Source organism: Homo sapiens, chromosome 4, assembly GCF_000001405.40.
Source record: "Homo sapiens chromosome 4, GRCh38.p14 Primary Assembly".
NCBI lineage: Eukaryota > Metazoa > Chordata > Mammalia > Primates > Hominidae > Homo > Homo sapiens.
In genome coordinates, this window is record NC_000004.12 from 56,530,516 (window position 1) to 56,551,730 (window position 21,215).

At 42.7% G+C, this 21,215-nt stretch overlaps 1 protein-coding gene across 7 annotated transcripts in view, besides 2 other annotated features; it reads left to right on the forward strand.

Moving 5' to 3' along the window:
* The first annotated feature begins 90 nt into the window (after positions 1-90).
* The window catches only part of SPMAP2L (sperm microtubule associated protein 2 like), a 95,609-nt gene continuing 74,484 nt past the window's right edge, over positions 91-21,215 (forward strand). For all 7 annotated transcript variants that reach the window (XR_941041.2, XM_011534357.2, XM_011534361.3 and 4 more), the window contains exons 1-2: positions 91-654; positions 18,275-18,308. Coding sequence is in view for 6 of the 7 variants with exons in the window: in XM_011534357.2 (XP_011532659.1) it covers positions 162-654; positions 18,275-18,308 (527 nt within the window). In the remaining variant the exon portion in view is untranslated. The remainder of the gene's footprint in view (positions 655-18,274; positions 18,309-21,215) is intronic.
* Positions 565-1,098: an enhancer, noted in NCBI's record as "H3K4me1 hESC enhancer chr4:57397246-57397779 (GRCh37/hg19 assembly coordinates)". NCBI's record gives its function as "activates a minimal SCP1, AML or CMV promoter by ChIP-STARR-seq in naive H9 embryonic stem cells {active_cell/tissue: H9 hESC(naive)}" and the evidence as "EXISTENCE:reporter gene assay evidence [ECO:0000049][PMID:30033119]".
* Positions 14,110-14,299: a silencer, noted in NCBI's record as "silent region_15451". NCBI's record gives its function as "represses an Ori minimal core promoter by ATAC-STARR-seq in GM12878 lymphoblastoid cells {active_cell/tissue: GM12878}" and the evidence as "EXISTENCE:reporter gene assay evidence [ECO:0000049][PMID:35858748]".

The following is a 21,215-nucleotide window of genomic DNA, read 5'->3' on the forward strand; positions in this document are numbered from 1 at the left end:
CGGGGCTGTGTAGGGCTGGGGCGGGGCTCGGGGCGGGGCTCGGGGCGGGGCTGGGCGCGGGGGGCCCCGGCAGCCCTTATCGTATCGCGCAGAGAGCAAACTGCGCCTGGGCAACCAGTCGGGAGGGTGAGTCCCGCGCGCGACAGAAGCTTCTGGCGCGAATGGAGAACCAAGAGTTTCTAAGTTCATCTGCGCCGTCCGAGGTGACCGATGGGCAGGTCTCAACAGAAATATCCACTTGCTCCGAAGTCTTCCAGAAGCCCATTGTGCTCAGGATTCTCGACACTCACAGAGAGCTTGAGGAGTCCGAGGATCCCGAGAAACACGAGAATCCCGAGGAACCCGAGGAGGTCAGGGAGCAAGACCAGAGAGACGAGTCCGAGGAATGTGATGAGCCTCATGAGTCCTATGAGCCCCACGCTCCCTATGCGCCCCACAAGCCCCGGGACTCCTATGCACCTTACGAACTCCATGGGCCCCATGCAGCCCCCAAACTCCTCAAGGCCCGTGAACCCCGCCAGCTCCGCCACACCCGTGAGCCCCGCAAGTCCCGCGAGGCCAAGGAAACCGAGTTGCTTCCCAGCGCCGCAGTAATGATCTCCCCCTCTCTGATCACCAGAGCCCCGCCACGGCCTCAGCTGTCTTTCCTGGGTGGTAGGTGTTCCCCTTCCCTCGTCCCCTCTCCTGCTTCTCCCTTCCCCTCATTCCCCACGCGCTGAGCACCCACGCCCCATCTAGAACCGGGGGTCCTAAGGTGGAGGTTTGCATGCAAGAGCTTGCCATATTGAAAAGAACTCGTGTCATTTACCTGTTGCTTCGCAGTCATCAGCCCTTGCGTTTCAAGGGACTCAGATGGGAAACTGACACCCTGATAATGAGAGAAGCTGAATCTCTTGTCTTCCACTGCTATCTAATGAGCTATTGTTACCTCCTTTTGAAGCCCTTCTTCATTCGCCTCTACAGTTAGTCATTGCATCCCTCTGGGTTGCACTTTGAATGTTACCCTTATTAGAGCACTTAAGATCTTGTATTTCACCATTCATCTTTCTCTTTAACTAAAGAGAGTGATCCTTGAAGGGAGGATATTTTCGTCAGTGTTTGGCATATGGTCACATGTGGAAACAAAGCATTCATTGAGCAAGTATTCAAAGAGTATGCATCTACAAAGTGCTCACGATATGCTCAGTCCTCACCACCTTCACAAGGTAACAGAGCAGATGGGACTTGGTTATAAACATCCTTGCTCTGACCCCACTCGCTCATTTATGACCCCTCACTAATGACCCAACCCAAAGCAATTATTTGTCCTCATTGGACCGCCAATCTTTTGGGAAACCAATTTTTATCTTATGTTCTCACTGACTGCTCCTTATCCAGCCTCGATTCCATGGTCTGCCATTGCAGTTGCTCCCTTATGTCTTCCACCATTCCATTGGCTCTCTGGTTATCCATCATACTTCTGACAAAACCTCAACCCTGATTAAACCCAGCCGTCCATCTACTCGCTTCCTACACCTCAGCAGTTGACTCTTGCTGTGCAAAATTGCACAGTCATACTGTCTGGTTTATTTCAATTTCATTTCAACTGGTCACTTGGCACTGCCTGGCAAGCTCACTTTATTCCCTTAGTAAGTTGGTTTTCCCAGTCTCTGAAGATGACTAACTGCCTTACTCTCCTCTAAACTTCACACCTTTGACCCCCCCACCCAGCTGAAGACTTTGCCCCATTCTTTATCGAGAAAATAGAAGTGATCAATCATGAAATCCCTTATTTTCTTACAATGGATCTATTGCTTTACCCGCATCTGTACCCATGAATTCTGCCTTTTCTCATATTTCAGGGAAGAATTGTGCCTTTTTTTTTAATGAAAAGCAAAATCCTTCACTTATGCTTTAGATACCACTCTCATTTCCTGAAGAACTTTCTTCCTGCAGTTATCCTCTCTCTTCTACAGCATCAATTTCTCCCTAATTAATCAGTACCATCATACACATATTCTAGAATCTTCCATCTTGAAATAACTCTTGACCCCATGTCATTTTCAGACTCTCCCCTTCCACCAGCATCACCCCCATTTCTCTGTTGTTCTTCATTGCAGAACTTGTCAAAAGAGTTGTCTATACTCACTGACTCAATTTCTTCACCTCTCATTCTCAACACATTTGGTTAGGCTTCTTTCCTCTACTCTCCCAAAACTGCTCTAGTTTACTGCTTTTCTCTCTGCCGCCACTCCTATCATCATGCATGGAGATTTCATATCCACTTGGATGATCCATTTGGCTTCTCAGTTCTCTGATCTCCTCACTTGGAAAGATCTTGTCCTTCACCCCATCGTAGGCACCCACTATCAAAGCCATTGTTAACTGCTCTACCATTTCCAGACTATTTCAAGCACTCTAATCTCTAACCATGTCTTAGCTTTCCAGCTCACTCCTCCATGAACCCCCCTATCAAATTTTCAGCTTAAGGGACTTCAAATCCATTGATCCTATGAACTTTTCATTATATATCACTATCTTATGTCCTGCTGTCTCTCCTCACCTTATATTCCATGGACCAACAATGGAATTACTCCCTTGATTCTCTCTCCCTCTGTCATTCTTGCCTTGTTAAATCGAACCCTTGCCTGCACTTGGAATAACAGATAATGGCAAGAGAAAGGCAAACAACTATGCCAACTATGATAACTGACCTTTAAATCCATGCCCCTGAACTTCAAGTGGGCTCTCAGTGCTGCTTGCCAGTCATACTGTATTTCCACAGTCAATTTATTTTCCAGCTGTCCCAGAAATTATGGTGAGTGCTCTCATTCCTCAACCTTATGCATCCTTTCCTCCTCGCTCTTAGCTGATGATTTCACTTTTTTCTTCACTGAGAATAGAAGAAATTCTGAAAGATCTACATATCTTTCCACCATGAAATCTACCAAAATACCAGCATCTATACATATGTACTCTACATTTTTTCCTGTTAATAATGGATGAAATGTCCTTGCTCTTATTAAAGGCCTTTCCCTCAATCTATATGTTGGATTTCAATCCCATCTAACTTCTTTAAGCTCTTTGCTCCTAAAATTAGCCTCTCTCTCCTGCATCATTGTATTCCTCCTCTGCTGGATCATTCCCATCAGCATACAAACATGTGCAATGGACCGGATGCGGTGCCTCAAATCTGTAATCCCAGCACTTTGAGAGGCCGAGGTGGAAGGATCACTTGAGGCTGGAATTCAAAATCAGCCTGAGCAACATAGTGAGACCTCCTTTCTACAAAAAAAAAAAAAAAATTATTAACCACGCATGGTGGCACATACCTGTAGCCCCAGTTACTGGTAGACTGAGGCAGGAGCATCACCTCAGACTCAGCAGTTTGAGGCAACAGTGAGGTATGATCATGCCACTGTACTCCAGCCTGGGCAGCAGAACAAGACTCTGTCTCAAGAACAAAAACAAAAACTAAAACCAACTAACCAAACAACAACAACGACAACAGCAAAATGCACAATAACTCTTATCTTTAAGAAACCCCAAACCTTCCTTGAACCCCATGTGCCCGTCCAGGTACCATGATTTCTTTGCTCTGCTTTAGAGGAAAAATTTCTCAATTGAATTGCCTGCAAGTCATCATATCCATGTCCTCTTTCCCCCTTTTTCCCCCTTCTCTAGAGAACCACTTACATTTTCATCCCCTCCACTTAGCTGCAGTGGCTTTTGTTGAGGTCACAATGATCGCTGCCTTGTGAAATTCAATGGCTAATTCTTCATCTTCATCTTACTCATTTGACACATTAACCTCTTATTTTCTTAGAAGTCTTCTTTACTTGACTTCTGGGATGCCTCTACCTCTGTTGTCCTACCTCACTGATTGTTCTTTAGTCAGTTTCCTTTGCTGAATCCTCCTCTTCCCAGCCTTTAGGTTGAAGTGACCAATGGCTTAGTCCTCTCAGATTCATTCTTCTAGAACTTTCCTTATTCCCTGGGTGAGGTCATCAGTTCCATGGCCTTAACTATATTCTGGTAACTTCCCAAATTATCTCTAGCCTCAGTTTTTCCCCTAAACTCAAGTTTTATAACCAGTCATTGATTTATCGTCCCCGCTTGAATATCAATTTGGCATGTAAAACATAAGGTGGGCTGGGTGCAGTGGCTTACGCCTGTAATCCCAGCACTTTGGGAGGCTCAGGTGGGTGAATTACCTGAGGTCAGGGGTTCGAGACCAGCCTCGCCAACATGGTGAAACCCCGTCTCTGCTAAAAATACAAAAAAAATAGCTAGGCGTGGTGGCGCATGCCTGTAATCCCAGCTACTCGGGAGGCTAAGGCAGGAGAATCGCTTGAACCTGGGAGGTGGAAGTTGCAGTGAGCCAAGATTGCACCATTGCAATCCAGCCTGCACAACAAGAGTGAAACTCCATCTCAACAACAACAACAAACAACAACAACAACAAAAAAACCATAATGTGCCCACCAATGAAGTCTTCCTGCAGCACCCATATGTGCTCTTCCCTCATTGTTTCCCATTTCAGCAAATGGCACCACCATTTATTTATCCAGGTGCCTAAAAACCTTAGCATCATTCTTGACGCCTGTTTTTCTCTTACACTCAGACTTTAAGCCATTAGCAAATTGTAACTTTGAGCTATATCCTGACTATGGCCATTTCTTAACATTTAAAATGTCATCATCTTTGTAAGCCACTATCATCTCTTGCCTGGTCTAAGGGAGGAGACCACCACGCATATTGTCTTATGCCCAATTTCTGCCTCCAAAGAAAGAAGTAAAAACTAAAAGGCAGAAATGAAATCCACAGGCAGACAGCCCAGCGCCACACCCTGGGCCTGGTCGTTAAAGATCGACCCCTGACCTAATTGGTTATGTTATCTATAGATTACATACATTGTATGGAAAAGCACTGTGAAAATCCCTGTCCTGTTCTGTTCTGTTCTAATTACTGGTGCATGCAGCCCCCAGTGACGTACCCCCTGCTTGCTCAATCGATCATGACCCTCTCATGCAGACCCCCTTAGAGTTGTAAGCCCTTAAGAGGGACAGGAATTGCTCACTCGGGGAGCTCAGTTTTTGAGACATGAGTCTTGCTGATGCTCCCAGCCGAATAAAGCCCTTCCTTCTTTAACTCGGTGTCTGAGGGGTTTTGTCTGTGCCTCGTCCTGCTACAGGTCCACTGCAGTAGCCTCCAGCTGGGTTCTTGTCTTGCACCATCCCCGGTTCATTATACCTACACTGGTCACAGAAGTCCCTTAGAACATAAATTATATGCAGTTCTCTTGCTCTCAACCCTCCAGAATGGGTTCTCACCTCAGGCAGGGTTCTCACCTCTAAGGCAGGGATCCCCAACCTTTTTGGCACCAGGGACGGGTTTCGTGGAAGACAGTTTTTTCAAGGGGTGGGGGGAACTGTTCCACTTCAGATCAATCTATCAATCATTAGTTAGATTCTCATAAGGACCCAGCAAGCTAGATCCCTCACATGCGCACGCGCAGTTCACGATAGGGTTTGTTTCTGTGAGAATGTAATGCCACCACTGATCTGACAGGAGGCGGAGTTGAGGCTGTAATGCCTGCTCCCCTGCCACTCACCTCCTGCTGTGTAGCCTGGCTCCTAACAGGCCACAGACAAAACCAGTCCACAGCCCGGGGGTTGGGAACCCCTGCTCTAAAGTCCTTAGCAGGCCTACAAGGCCCCACTTGATCTGAGCCTGTCACTAACCTCACCTTGAACTTGACCTGATATGTCCATGACATCATGTCCTACTACTCCCCTGTCGGTTTTTGCTCTGCAGGCACATGGGCATCCTTGCTCTGAGCTCAGGATCATTTCACTTGCTTTCTCCTCTGCCAGGGCACTCTTGTTTCAAATAACTTGTCATCTCCTTTTCATGGGGTACCAAAAACAGCATTATTGGCCTGCTCATTTTCTTTGAGACACTTATGGGGCTGCATGATATATCTATTTGTTTACTCTTTTACGTTAAGCTCTTATGGAGGCAGGACCTTTGTCTTTCATCCTTAGTGCCTCAAGCTTGCCTGGAACAAGTCAGGAATTAATTGTTGTTGAATGAAAGATCTCTTCATTTGACCGCTGTGTTACCAAATCCAATGGTTTCTTCTCTATCGTTAGCATTGTCAAAAAGATTCAAAGAGTTAATACCCATAAAGGTCTTAGAACAGATGTGGTACATTGTAAGTGCTCAGTAGATGTTAGCTAGTAGTAGTAGTAGTGTTGTAGTGTTATTATTATTATTACTATTTTGAGATGGAGGCTTGCTGTGTTTCCCAGGCTGGAGTGCAGTGGCATGATCTTGGCTCACTGCAAAGTCCGCCTCCTGGGTTCAAGCGATTCTCCTGTCTCAGCCTCCAGAGTAGCTGGGATTACAAGTATGCACCACCATGCCTGGCTAATTTTTGTATTTTTAGTAGAGACAGGGTTTCACCATGTTGGCCAGGCTGGTCTTGAACTCCTGACCTTAGGTGATCCGCTCACCTCAGCCTCACAAAGTGCTGGGATTACAGGCATGAGCCACCACGCCCGGCCAATGTATTAGTATTATTATCTCATTAAACCTCTAGGCAGCATCTAACACAACTGGCTACTCCCTTCTCGTGGCCTCTGTGACACCATAGTCTCCTAGTTTAGCATCCACCTGACTGTTTCTCCTTCTCAGGCTCCTTTGCTGAACCCTCTCTGAATTCTTGAATTCTTGCGGGCTCTGTCCTGACTCCTTTAAAAAATATTTACACTTTTACCCCTAGGTGGTCATAACCACACTCACTCAAGAGTTTAGCATTTCTATGCTGCTGCCTTCTAAATTTTTATATTCTCTCTCTTCTCTGAGTCTGACACTTACATATTCAACTGCCTCCTGGACATCTCCATTTGCATGTATCATATGTTTCTCAAATTGACTATACTTTTTCAAACAGAAGTCTTGATTTCCCTTCCAGCCTTGTTCTTCCTTCAGTCTCCCCCATCTAAGAAAATATCTTGAAGTTACTCAAGCTAAAGAAAATCTATTCTTCTTGCCTCACCTTCAAGTACAATGCACCCAATGAAAGTTCTATCAGTTTTATCTCAAGAATATTTCCTGAATTTATTAATTTCTGCTGCTAACACACTCACTCCAGTTGTCCAGTTGTGGTCACTTCTCACCTGGATTTCTTTTCTTTTCTTTTTTTTTTTTGAGACGAGTCTCGCTCTGTCGCCCAGGCTGGAGTGCAGTGGCGCGCGATCTCGGCTCACTACAAGCTCCACCTCCCGGGTTCACGCCATTCTCCTGCTTCAGCCTCCCGAGTAGCTGGGACTACAGGTGCCCGCCACCACGCCCGGCTAATTTTTTTGTATTTTTAGTAGAGACGGGGTTTCACCATGTTAGCCAGGATGGTCTTGATCTCCTGACCTTGTGATCTGCCCGCCTCGGCCCCCCAAAGTGCTGGGATTACAGGCGTGAGCCACCGTGCCTAGCTTCACCTGGATTTCTACATGAGTTTCCTGACAAGTCTGCCTGTGTCTACTCTTGTCCCCTGCAGCCCTATGGCTACCGCAGCCAGAGTGGGTATTTTAAAAATGAATCAGATCATGTCTTTCCCTTATAGTCCTTCCTGTGGCATCTCATTGCTCTTACAATAAATCCAAGCTTCCTGCAGCAGTGTGTAGAGCTCCACGGGGTCTCTGACATCCCCTATCACTCGCCCTCATGCTCACTTGGTCTCAGTCATACTGGCTTCCTTTCTGTTCCTCCAAAAGGTGAACCCCTATACTTGCCTGCTTCAGAGTCTGCATCTGTGGTTCTCTCTACCTGGCATGCCTATTTTTTTCCCAGGATTCTCTCATGGCTAATTTCTATTACTGGGTCTCAGCCTGTTTTTAAGAGGTGGGAAAGCTAATCTTTTGTAGGGCTTTTCCTGTCCATGCTACCTAAAGCAGCCTTCCTGAAGTCACATGGTCATGAGACTTTCTCTAAAAAGTTTTCAGACTTTGCTTTAGAAAACATTATTTTAGGCCGGGCATGGTGGCTCAAGCCTGTAATGGTTTGGGAGGCCTAAGCAGGCAGATCACCTGAGGTCAGGAGTTCAAGACCAGCCTGGCCAACATGGTGAAACCCCAGCTCTACTAAAAATATAAAAATTAGCTAGGCATGGTGGCATGTGCCTGTAATCCCAGCTACTCTGGAGGCTGAGGTAGGAGAATCACTTGAATCCGGGAGGTGGAGGTTGCAGTGAGCCAATATCATGCCACTGCACTCCAGCCTGGGCAACAGAGCAAGACTCCATCTCAAAAAAGCAAAACAAAAGAAAAGACTACTTTAAAGCCTTCTACCTTCTCAATTTGTCTTCTAGATTTTCCTTGTCAATTCCAGTAAGTCTTTACATTAATTCCTTTAGTAAAGCTCAACAAACACTAAGTATATTTATATAATATTTACAAAAAGTGGTGTAAACATTGGGCAATAATTAGCACATCCCCGTGCCTCTACTCACTCAATAAGATTTTTCTTCATCCAACATTTATTGAGCGACTACTAAGTCACTCTTCTGTGTCCTATGGAGTGCAAAGATGACTAAGACATGGCATTTTGGTTGTGTGCCAAATTTAAAAAATTTATAGAGTCGGTTCTATTATTCTATCACCTAACAATAGTATCATCACCTAATCATCACTGTTATTGCTGAACTTTATTGAGCGCATACTATGTTTATGGTGTAGGTAGTGAGCTGTAGATGAATAAGACATGGATTCCTTCCTTGAAGAACTATTTCTGTGGTTGGGGAGGCTGAATATATCTACAACAATAACACATCCACAGCATACAAAGTAAAATGTACTGGAGTATCCTACAGGACAAGCACTTCATTTTTCTGAGTTAAGTGGCAACAATAACCTCTTTTTATTTTTTACTTATTTATTTTTTTGAGATGGAGTTTTGCTCTTGTTGCCAAGGCTGGAGTGCAATGGTGCAATCTCAGCTCACTGCAACCTCTGCCTCCCAGGTTCAAGCGATTCTCCTGCCTCAGCCTCCTGAGTAGCTGGGATTACAGGCCTGCACCACCACACCCAGCTAATTTTTGTATTTTTAGTAGAGACAGGGTTTCACCATGTTGGCCAGGCTGGTCTCAAACTCCTGACCTCAAGTGATCTGCCTGCCTCAGCCTCCCAAAGTGCTGACGTTACAGGTGTGAGCCACCGTGCCTGCCTTAATGTAGTGTTTTCTAAAGCAGAGTCTGAAAACTTTTTAGAGAGAGTCTCATGACCATGCTACTTCAGGAAGGCCCTGACTTCTCTCCCTAAAGTAGGCACCCTCTCCTTCTGCCTTACCAGCCACATCACACTGATTTATTTCCTTCCCAGCGCTTACCACTATCTGAAGTTATTTACTTGCTTGTTGTCTGTCTTTCTACCTGAAAGGTAAGCTGCATGACCTTGGACAGGGATTTAAGTTTCTTTATCCTTCTCTATTCCAAAGCTTAAAATGAATGGGTAAAGTCAGCATAAAAGTCATTCATATGGCCATTCCTGAACACTTTCTAGATTCACTCAAGAGTTACTGAGCTCATATTAATAGTAGCTTATGTTCATTGAGTGTTTTAAATATTTAATGTAATCTCATTTTATCCTTAAGACAACCCTTTGAAGTAAGTACTATTTGCATCCCCATTTTACAGATGAAGAATGTGAGACTTGGCATGTTGTCTCCATGCATATAGTGGAGGACCGGCATTCAAAGCCATATCATGGGCCAGGCATGGTGGCTCACGCCTGTAATCCCAGCACTTTGGGAGGCTGAGGCAGGTGGGTCACCTGAGGTCAGGAGTTCAAGACCAGCCTGGCCAACATGCCAAAACCCTGCCTCTGCTAAAAATACAAAAATTAGCCGGGAGTGGTGGTGCACGCCTGTAAGCCCAGCTACTCAGGAGGCTGAGGCAGGAGAATCGCTTGAACCCGGTAGGCAGAGGATGCAGTGAGCCGAGATCGCACCACTGCACTGCAGCCTGGGTGACAGAGTGAGACTCTGTCTCAAAACAAAACAAAAGCCATATAATACCTTCTGATCAGTGGTGAATGAAAAAGAAAGAAAGAAAGAGAGAGAAAGAAGGAAAAGAAAGGAAGAAAGAGAAAGAAAGAAAAGAGAGAAAGAAAGAAAGAAAAGAAAGACAGCCAAAGCCCATCAGTTCGTCCAAAGCCTGTGAACTACTGACGAGATAGGTCAGGCCCCTTAAATGGAAGAAAAGAAGCACCGCTGCTATTTTCTCTGGAAGAGTGGGCTGGGGAACATTTTGGGGACAGAAAGTGATACTGGAATTGTACTACAGGAAAATCAGCCAATGAGGATGGATTGGATGTGTCAACTCCTCCCTACTGTCCCCAAAGAAATGTCAATGTTTGAACACTGCTGTGCCCAGGAGTCATGGCTCCAGTTGCATCCTGGGGATTTCAATTGGAGCATACATTTAGTAGAAGAGGAAACTTGGTTCTGTTGCGAAGAGCACTGGACTAGGAGTTAGGAAACTTGTGATTTACTTTCGGTTACGTCATAGCTGTGTGTCTGTTTCCTTTCTAGTGAAATGAAGTGGCTAGACTGGCCAATCACTATGAACAAATGTTGAGAGTCTATATTTTAATATAACTGCTTAATTTGATATAACAAGATATTGCCAAAGTGCAATTACTGTATATTCTTGAATATAACGACATTTAAATGTTTTTGCCAATTTGAATATATAAACTTTAAAAAATAGAGCTAAAATAGACAAATGTTTATAATTGTATTACAAAAATTTAAATTAAAAAATAAAAGTAACATATTAAAATAAATGGTATAATTTAGAAATATTTATTCCTAATGTCAGATTTCATGGAAAACAGTTTTATTAATTTTTTCACTTGCATATTTGACATCACTAGAGTCATTTTTTGAGTAATTTAATACACTTTTTAAGGGCACATTGTTTTTATTTCTAAGTTATTTGAGATAGAAAAACGTAAAATATTTTTTTATTATGGAAATTTCTTAACATACACAAAATAGAGTATGTTATAATAAACCCCTATGTACCCATTACGTAGTTTCAATAATTAACACTGTTTTTGAATATTGTTTCATCTAGGCACCCCCCAATCCTAATTTTTGGGCATCCTGTAGGACAAATTTGTTTTAAAGAAACTGCCAGATACCATGTCATTTTACCCATAAATACCTCAGTATGCATCTCTAATTGCTAAGGATTTTTAAAAAGCCACATAATTATCATGTCATAATTACACCAAACAAAATTTACAATTATTCTTTCTTTCTTTCTTTTTTCTATAGAGATGGAGTCTTCCTAGGTTGCCCAGGCTGGTCTTGAACTCCTGATCTCAAACGATCCTCCCACCTCAGCCTCCCAAAGTGCTAGGATTACAGGCATGAGCTGTCATGCCCTGCCACAATTATTCTTTAATGCCCACTAAATACATGTTTCCCTAATTGTCTCAAAAACATATTTTTACAGTTGATTTGTTCAAATTAGGACTTAAACAAGAGCCTCACATTGCATTTGGGAGTTAGGTCTTGAAGGAAACCAAAATACTGATGAATGTTAAGTAAAAGACAATGAAAACGCAGAGGAATGATCTGCCTCAGGCTCTGTTTGCCTGGCGGCGGGGACATCAACCCTTCCTTACTGGAGAAGGCACTAGCAGGCAACAGAGAAATCTGGGAACAGATTTTACTATCTTCCCACATTTTCCTGACTTTAAAAAGACCACAACTGCTTTCTCCTTTCTCTGGCCACTGTATAGCATGTATGGCTCTTTGTTAAAATTCTATTTAAGCAAAGCCCCCAAACCACTGCGTTGAGAGAGAAATACTTTTGAACTGAGACCTCTCCTGCATGATGGGTATGGCTCATGTTCATAAACTTCTGCTTGTTTTTCTTTTGTTAATTTACCTTTTTTTTTTTTTTAGGAGAGTGTCTCAACTAAGATCTTAAAAAGGGGAAGAAAATAACTTATGTTTTCTCCCCTACAGTCTGTTTGTCTCTGTTATTCTTCATCAATAGACCTTGTCCTCTCTCCCTTTTAGAAACACCATTTATTTGTCAGGAAAATTCGGTAAAATATCCCATATTGCAGATTAAGAGGCTTGCTTCAACTCAGAATAAATTATTTTTGGCAAGGTTCTTTGATAGGTGGTGCTGAACGTGCTCTTCCTCTAGCATCACACTTTGAGTAAGGCGCATCCTCTGGCTCTCCCACTTGTGGGGAATGTAAGATTGATGAGTGGGTTCAGGTGAGGTCAGCCCTGATCCCTCAACGTTAGTTCCAATCCACCTTTCACCAGATGGTTTCAACAACCAGTCTTGTTCACTGCCTAGATACCATTATTTTATTAGATTCTATTATTTTGTTAGGAGTAAGACAGGGTCCCTTTGAACCTGTGTTTGATGTTGTCACTGGAAATTATCACGAGCCATCAGAACCCATTCATGTCATGTAAAAGTAGGAACTTAAAAAAAAAAATTCATCCTGTACGTGTACTTTTACCTTTACAATACAATCACTATGTGGTTTATTGCGTTTTGTGTTTATGTTTTGCTTTTTTTTTTTTGAGACGGAGTCTCCAGGCTGGAGTGCAGGGGTGCGATCTTGGCTCACTGAAAGCTCCGCCTCCCGGGTTCACGCCATTCTCCTGCCTCAGCCTCCCGAGTAGCTGGGACTACAGGCGCCCGCCACCACACCAGGCTAATATTTTGTATTTTTAGTAGAGACGGAGTTTCACCGTGTTAGCCAGGATGGTCTCGACCTCCTGCCCTCGTGATCTGCCCACCTTGGCCTCCCAAAGTGCTCGGATTACAGACGTGAGCCACCGCGCCCAGCCATGTTTTGCTTTTTAAAATAAAGTTTAGGGCTGGGCATGGTGGCTCACACCTGTAATCCCAGCACTTTGAGAGGCAGACGCTGGTGGTCAGTTGAGGCCAGGAGTTTGAGACCAGCCTGGCCAACATGGCAAAACCCCTTCTATACTAAAAATACAAAGATTTGCCAGGTGTCGTGGTGTGCACCAGTAGTCCCAGCTACTTGGCAGGCTGAGGCACAAGAATCACTTGAACCCGGGAGGCAGAGGTTGCAGTGAGCCAATTGCGCCACTGCACTCCAGCCTGGGTGACAGAGTGAGATTCTGTCTCAAATAAATAAATAAATAAATAAAATAATGTTTAAAGCTTTAGAACAACACCTAGCATTTAGGATTATGAGATTATATTCCCAAGAATAATTACTAAATCTGTTTTGAATTTCTTATTCCTTTCCTTCGCTTAACCTATTAATTTTGGTAGGGAGAACTCTGTACTTTTCCCATTCTAGCATATATTGAGAGAGAGAGAGAGAGAGAGTGTGTGTGTGTGTGTGTGTGTGTGTGTGTATGTGAGAGAGAGAGAGAGAGAGAGTGTGTGTGTGTGTGTGTGTATGTGAGAGAGAGAGAGAGAGAGAGAGAGAGAGAGAGATGGAGTCTCGCTCTCTTGCCCAGGCTGGAGTGCTATGGCCCTACCTAGGCTCACTGCAACAACCTCTGCTTCCTGGGCTCAAGTGATTCTCGTGCCTCAGCCTCCCGAGTAGCTGGGATTACAGGTGTGAGCCACCACGCCCGGCTAATATTTGTATTTTTTGTAGAGATGGAATTTCACCATGTTGGCCAGGCTGGTCTCGAACTCCTGAGCTCAAGTGATCCGCCCGCCTTGGCCTCCCAAAGTGCTGGGATTACAGGTGTGAACCACCGTGCCCGGCCCCAATACGTTTTCCTTGCCCAGTTCTTTGTTGAGAAAATAAAGCAATTGAGAAAGCACCTCTTAAGATGGGTTCTTTTAAGAGCTTGCATATACGGTAACCTTTACTGAAGAATAATTTTTTGGGGAAAATCATGCCTCATACTCAGTCATTTATAGTACTTCACTGGAAACTATTTTTTTTAACTTAGTTTCATGCAACACAAATCAGGAATAAACTTTGAAGAGGCGAAAAAACGTAAAAAAAATAGGGTTCTATTTGGCTTTCCACCAACGTTTTATAATTATGTTGCTCCTTGTATAACACCAGTTAAGACCTCATCCGAGAGATTTTTTTTTTTAAATTTCAACTTGTGTCGCAGTTCGAGTTGCTGGGCTCCGCTAGGCCGAGCCCCGCAGCCCTCCAGCCGCTGCCAACCTGCGCCCCCTGGTGGCCTGGTTGCCGGCCGCACGCGCTCTGGCTCCGCCGTCTGGAGCGCCACCTGGCCCGAGGGCGGGAGGGAGACTGTGGAGCAGTTCCAGACCCGCTTGTGGACCTGCACAACTACGTCATCCTCTGCAACACTGACCAGAAAGCTCAGCAACGGCAGCATTCTCAACAGGAAAGCCCATCGCAGGCTGCGCTTCTGTGTCCCCGAGACGACTGTCCGCAAGGTGGTGGCCAGCACGCCCGGGGCCATCGAGCCTGTCCTATACCACTGAGGACAATGCTGTCCACACAGACCCGCCCGGCGCAGCTGTGTCAGTGTAAATCCTAGTCTGCGGCCGGGCTACTGACATTTGCATGTGATTGACTAATCTATGAGAGAGAAAACAAACACAAGAAAGAAATACATGGTGATGAAGCCCCTGCTCCACCCTCCTCCTAAAAGATTCCACTGTTAGGAACAGCTGGTGTCTTTCTTTCCCTGGTAGAAAGCTCTGATACAACTATGCTAGGCTTTATTATCTATGCTTCCCTTATTTTTCTTACCCTTCTCCTGACTATTTTTCTCTTTCCTTGAGTTTTTCATCTAAAAACAGACATATCCTATTGTAGTCTGTTTATGTAAGCAACCTCAAATCCTTTTAGAAATGAAGGGAGGGTAGAAACACATAAACCAATGAAAATACATGTGAGTACATGTTTACAAAGTAGGTTTAACATTTTACTAATAATTTTCATGGCTACGTGTGGTGACTCATGCCCAGCACTTTGGGAGGCCAAGGTAGGAGGATTGCTGGAGCCCAGGAGTTCAAGACCAGCCTGGGCACCATAGTGAGACCCTGTCTACAAAAAATAAAATTAGCGTGGCTTGGTGGCACACACCTGTAGTCCCAGCTACTCGGGAGACTGAGGCACGAGAATCGCTTGAACTGGGGAGGTGGAGGTTGCAGTGAGTGATGATTGCGCTACTGCACTCTAGCCTGGGCAACAGAGAGACCCTGTCTCAAAAAAAAAAAAAAAAAAAGCAGTTGGAACCCTTAATAGTAAACACTTCCTTAACAATTACTTAAACATTTTTGTTTATGTTTGTTTGTTTGAGACGGAGTTTCGCTCTTGTCCCCCAGGCTGGAGTGCAATGGCATGATCTCGGCTCACAGCAACTTCTGCCTCCTGGGTTCAAGCGATTCTCCTGCCTCAGCCTCCTGAGTCGCTGGGATTACAGACGCCCGCCACCACACCCAGCTAATTTTTGTTATTTTTAGTAGAGATGGGGTTTCGCCATGTTGGCCAGGCTGGTCTTGAACTCCTGACCTCAGGTGATCTACCTGCCTTGGCCTCCCAAAGTGTTGGGATTACAGGCATAAGCCACCGTGCCCAGCCACATTTTTTTTAATTCACAGAAATTTAAGCAGAATCTTAATTCCTAAATTCTTAGAATTAATAATGGATTTCATTTATAGTGCTGTGTTTTGGACACTGTGCAGAGTGCTTTCCTTGTATTATTTAACTTTCCTCTAACAACTTTTTGAAGCAAGAACTCAGTCGTGAAAATACTTAGTTGCAGAGAGCCTAAATAAACTTGCCTTAGATCAGAAGTTAGAGCCAAAATTTCGTTCCGGGAACTCTGATTCCAGAGCCAGTGGTCTCAGCCATTAAATGATATGATAGCAGTTCCCAAACTTGTCTGCTTCAAAAAATGCTGATGCCTGTGTCCCTTCCCCAGAGATTGTGACTTAATTGGTCTGAGATGTGGCCTGGGACTTGTAGTTTGTAAGAGATCTCCAGGTGATTCTAATCTGTGGACAAATTTGGAAACCACTATAACACTGCTTTGCTTGGGACATTAGCTAACAACAGCCACCTGAGAGCTATTTCATCCTGCCAATTAGTGAGATAACCTCAAAAGTGTGTTTTCTAAAATAAAGAGTGAAAACTTTACCTATAGGAGAAATTATAGTATGAAAGAGCAATAGCAAAGAGTTATTCATTCACATTATCAGTACTTATAGATGGTCTTTTAGGACTGATTCAGTTTTTTACTGACTCTCTAACCTGTGTCAGGTCATAAAGCTGAAAGGCAAGGTTGGTAATACATAAAAAGCCCATAGAATAAGTGCTGCAACTTTCATGGGTGACAGCACGGCTGGCTGTGAGGGACATTTTTGTAGACTACTCTCCCTTTTCCCTTAGGTCTGGAACAACAGAAAATATCTGAATTTAAAAGTTCCATTTACTTTTTTTTGTTTAAATTCATAGCCTGCCTCCCACTGGAGTGTAAACTTTTTGAGAAGAGAGACCTTCGTCATTTGTGTTCTCTCCATACTGGCACCATGCTTGCCTATAGGAGCCAAATCACAAGTTCGTTGAATAGTTAATTGTGTTTCCTACAGTGCTCTATTTAAGCCATTGATACACTGAAGTTGTAACCAATAATTGTAACTACCATTCATCTACCATATGCAAGATGCTATACATATATATGTAAGTGATGTACATGTATACACTAATCTTGTTTTATTACTAATTCTCTTTTTTTTTTTTTTTTTGAGATGGAGTTGTTTCTCTCTTGTTGCCCAGGCTGAAGTGCGGTGGTGCAATCTTGGCTCACTGCAACCTCCGCCTCCCAGGTTCAAGCAATTCTCCTGCCTCAGCCTCCCAAGTAGCTGGGATTACAGGCACACACCACTATGAGTGGCTAATTTTTGTATTTTCAGTAGAGACAGGGTTTCACCATCTTGGCTAGGCTGATCTCGAACTCCTGACCTCAGGTGATCTGCCTGCCTTGGCCTCCCAAAGTGCTGGGATTACAGGCATGAGCCACTGCACGAGGCTGTTTATCAGTAATCTTTACACAGACCTATTAATCCTCCTATCTGAGAAGGGAAAACTAAATCCCTGAGAAATTAATTTACCCAAGATTGTACAGTGGAGTAAGCAACAAAACTGAGGTTTGAGCCAGGTCTGTCTGATGCTGTAGCGCACCCACTTTTCTTTACCAAAAACATTCTAGACAATGTTATTTCAAAACTCTTGGATGGGATTAAAAACTCCCAAGAAAAGACTCTGGAGCAATCCATCATTATAAGGCCTATGGGATCACCTACATTTTTCCACATTAAAACAAAAAAACAAAAAAACCCAGCTTATAAACGAGATTTTTCATTAGCTTAACCATTTCTTCTGTTTTGGACATTTCAGGATTACCTAATTTCCCACTGTTAAAGATACCACAATGAAGATTTTTCTGCATAAATCTTTGCCCACACTTGAATTATTTCTTTAGGGTCCATTTCTATAAATAGAATTGGACTAAGACATGTAAACATTACTGACACTATCAAATTATTTTTCATAAAATATACTAATTTAGACTTTTACCAGCAATGCACAGAAGGACTCATTTCATCTTACCCTTCCAACATCTTTATACTTTGCAAAAAAATTTTGCCAATTTGCCAGTTTAAAGAAAAATCTCATTTTTTGCATTGTTTTGATTATAAGCAAGTTTGAGCGTTCTCTTTCTGTTTTTTTTACCTTTCCTGTAGTGCTGATGAACTTTTACTTATGTTAGTTATTAGCCCTTTATATATCTTCATATGTGAATTCTGTTCTCATCCTTTGTCTATTTAATTTTGACACTTACCTTAGTGTTTTTCTTATAATCTGTACATTTATACTCTTCAAATGTTAAGACTATTAACCCTTTATCATATTTATTGCCAAATATTCCTCCAAATTTTTCTGTCATCTTTAAGGTTTAATTTTTGACACAGAAATTTTAAGTATTTTAATCTATTTATATTGTCCTTTATATCTTTTGCCAGCTTTAACTCTAGAAGATTAAAATCCAGGGATCAAGTAGATATTCTCTTATTTCCTCTAATTCAGTTTTTAAAATACTTAACTCCTTGATTTACCTTTGGTTTATTTTGGTACATACTATGATATATTTCAGTTGGCCATTTCCCCAAATATTTTTTTCTAACTCCTTTCTCTTTTAATTTGTGATGCTATCTTAATCATATCTTTGATTCCTGTTGAATCTAATTTTTGCTTTTACTTTTGTTTTCTTTTAGCAAATCCTGTTTCCTGTGACTTTGTAAGGAAATGGTAAGACATAGTTATAGTACTATTTTCACAGACCTAAACTAATAGGCCAGCCAATCTGGATGGGGCAGATTCATTTGACGTGGGTCTACCTTGGGGTTTTCAAAAAGGACATTCCTAGGCTTTCCCTTTGTCATAAGGTCCTTTTCTTTCTTTTCTTTTCTTTCTTTCTTTTTTTTTTTTTTTGAGACAGAGTCTCGCTCTGTTCCCCAGACTGGAGTGCAGTGGCGTGATCTCGGCTCACTGCAACCTCTGCCTCCCGGGTTCAAGTGATTCTCCTTCCTCAGCCTCCTGAGTAGCTGGGATTACGGGCATGTGCCACCACACCCAGCTAATTTTTGTATTTTTAGTAGAGATGGGGCTTCACCGTGTTGGCCAGGATGGTCTCGATCTCCTGACCTCGTGATCTGCCCGCCTCTGCCTCCCAAAGTGCTGGGATTACAGGGGTGAGCCATCGTGCCTAGCTGGAGAACACTTCTATTCACTTAGTTTTTTACTTGTTTGCTAGGTACTTGACTTGTTACTTAGTAGATCTGAACCTTTAAGGGATTTGGGATTCTGCACTGACAATCTTGAATCACAGATTTTGTGAAGCTCCAGTTCAACGTATCCCAATCTCCCTTGCCTCTAATTCAAGTACGGTAGCTAATGACTTTTCAAGAAAGTACCCTTTATGAAAAAAAGAAAAGAAAAAAGTATATGTGTACATGTGCATATAATGCACAACAATAAATGCATCCTGAATACCGATGCTTACCCTTTGTTTGGCTAAGATAGAGTTAGAAGAGGAGACAGAATACAGGTTGAGCATCCCTAATCTGAAAATCTAAAATCCCAAGTGCTCCAAAATCTGAAACTTTTTGAGCATGGGCATAACACCACAAGTGGAAAATATCACACATAAGAACTTACCACAAACTTTGTTTCACACACAAAATTATTTAAAATATTATATAAAATTACCTTCAGGCTATGTGTGTAAGATGTATGTAAAACATAAATGAATGTTGTGTTTAGACTTGGGTCTCATCCCCAAGATACCTCATTATGTATGTACAGATATTTCAAAATCTGAAAATATCAAAAATTCCAAATAGTTCTAGTACCAAGCATTTTGGATAAAAGATACTCATCCTATAAAATCATTAGGGAGAAATACCAAGGGTTCATATCAATGGTTCCTGTAGGTGAAAAGTAAATAATACCAGATTTTATTTTCATCTACTTTTTAAAGAAGTGGGTCAAAACCATTCATATTTATTATTATTGTTTAGCTCATTTACATGTATGGTTATTATTCAGACTTATTTTGTATTTTATGTTTTAATATTTATTTTTAAAATTTTATTGTAGAGATAGATCTCACTACGTTGCCCAGGCTGGTCCCAAATTCCTGGCCTCAGGTGATCCTTCTAACTCAGCCTCCTGAAGTGCTGGCATTATAGGTGTGAACCACCACACCTGGCTGTATTTACCATGCTTCTAGATTTTTCCCCCTTCCTTATTCAGGCAGCAAATACTACTACCTTATTTTTGTGTAATGGTTTTCAGTTAAAAAAAAATAGGTTTTCTCACAAGAATTCTGAAAAGTAGATAGGACAGATATATCAACTAGATTTTACCGAGAGAAAATGAAATTCAGCAAAATTATGTCACTTTCCCAAGGTTGTCAGGTGGCTGAGGAGTAGAGCGGGTAGAATTAACATTTACTGAATATTACCAAGTATCCACTCAAAATACCACAGTACTTAAAATAAATAATGTATGCTGAGTGAGCAAGCTTTCCTGTGACTGGATAGTTTGTGTCCCATAAATTTTTATACTTAAAAAGGCTGTGACGAGTGTGGTTTCAAAAAAGTTTTTCGTTATTGTTATTTCTTACTGCTTCTTGTTTCTCTTTGATCTGTTAATTCGGGGTCATCATGTAAGGAAATTGTGCCATCTCCATTATCTATCCCTGTATCCTTTAAAAAGTTCGTTTTTATGCAAATGTGCTGTGCCTAATTAGCCCGGTATGGTGTCCGTAGTCCCAGCTACTCAGGAGGCTGAGTTTGGGTAGTAGTTCGAGGCTGCAGGGAGCTGTGATCATGCCATTGCACTCCAGCGTGGGGAACATAGTGAGACTCTATCTCTAACAGAAAAAAAAAAAAGGCTGAGAGGTTATACAAATGTGCAACCTTGGTAGCTGCTGACTATTGAGTCCCCTCTCCCCTACTGCCTCCTCCCACGGTGCATCAATCACCACTTAATTAGGAAGGCCATTTCTTCACATCATGCCTTGTATGTGCTGTGTCAGTGACTGAATCCTACCTGACATCAGGGCTAGGGCTTATTCTAAAAGAGTTTGGAGCCCATTAAAGAGCTCAGGCAAGTGTTAGGGGGATGCTTTTCCTTATCACCTGCCTCATTATACATTGAAGCATTTCCTTTGAGTAATTCTCCTGGCCTCTTGCCTCACTCTTTAATTAGACTTTCTGTGGGGTAGGAGTGACATCTGTTTGATAGGTTTGGGAGAGAGAATTGGTCCCTTCTGGGACCCTTTTTCTTTGGGGCCTGCCTGTCTACAGTGATCTGTAAGATGGTGCATCAATCTGTACAAGGATCTTTGTGATCTACTCTCTATCACATAGCAAGTTTAGTCCCTACAGGAGGAGGCCTGCAGCTTTGGGATGTCAGTTCAATTCGGGGGTGTCAGGGATTCAAACTACTCATTTCGATATGGTTTTGTCAACAACATATAGTATTTTTATTCTATTTGTCTGACTCCTGTGCCTATTTTTCAGTTGGTTTCTAAAGATGGTAGACCAAAAGAGTTGTCATGTATTGGCCCCGTCAGACTCCAACCAAGGCCATACACAGTTGTAATATGAGTCACCACAACATAGGTGGTGTATTAGTCTGCATAGGATA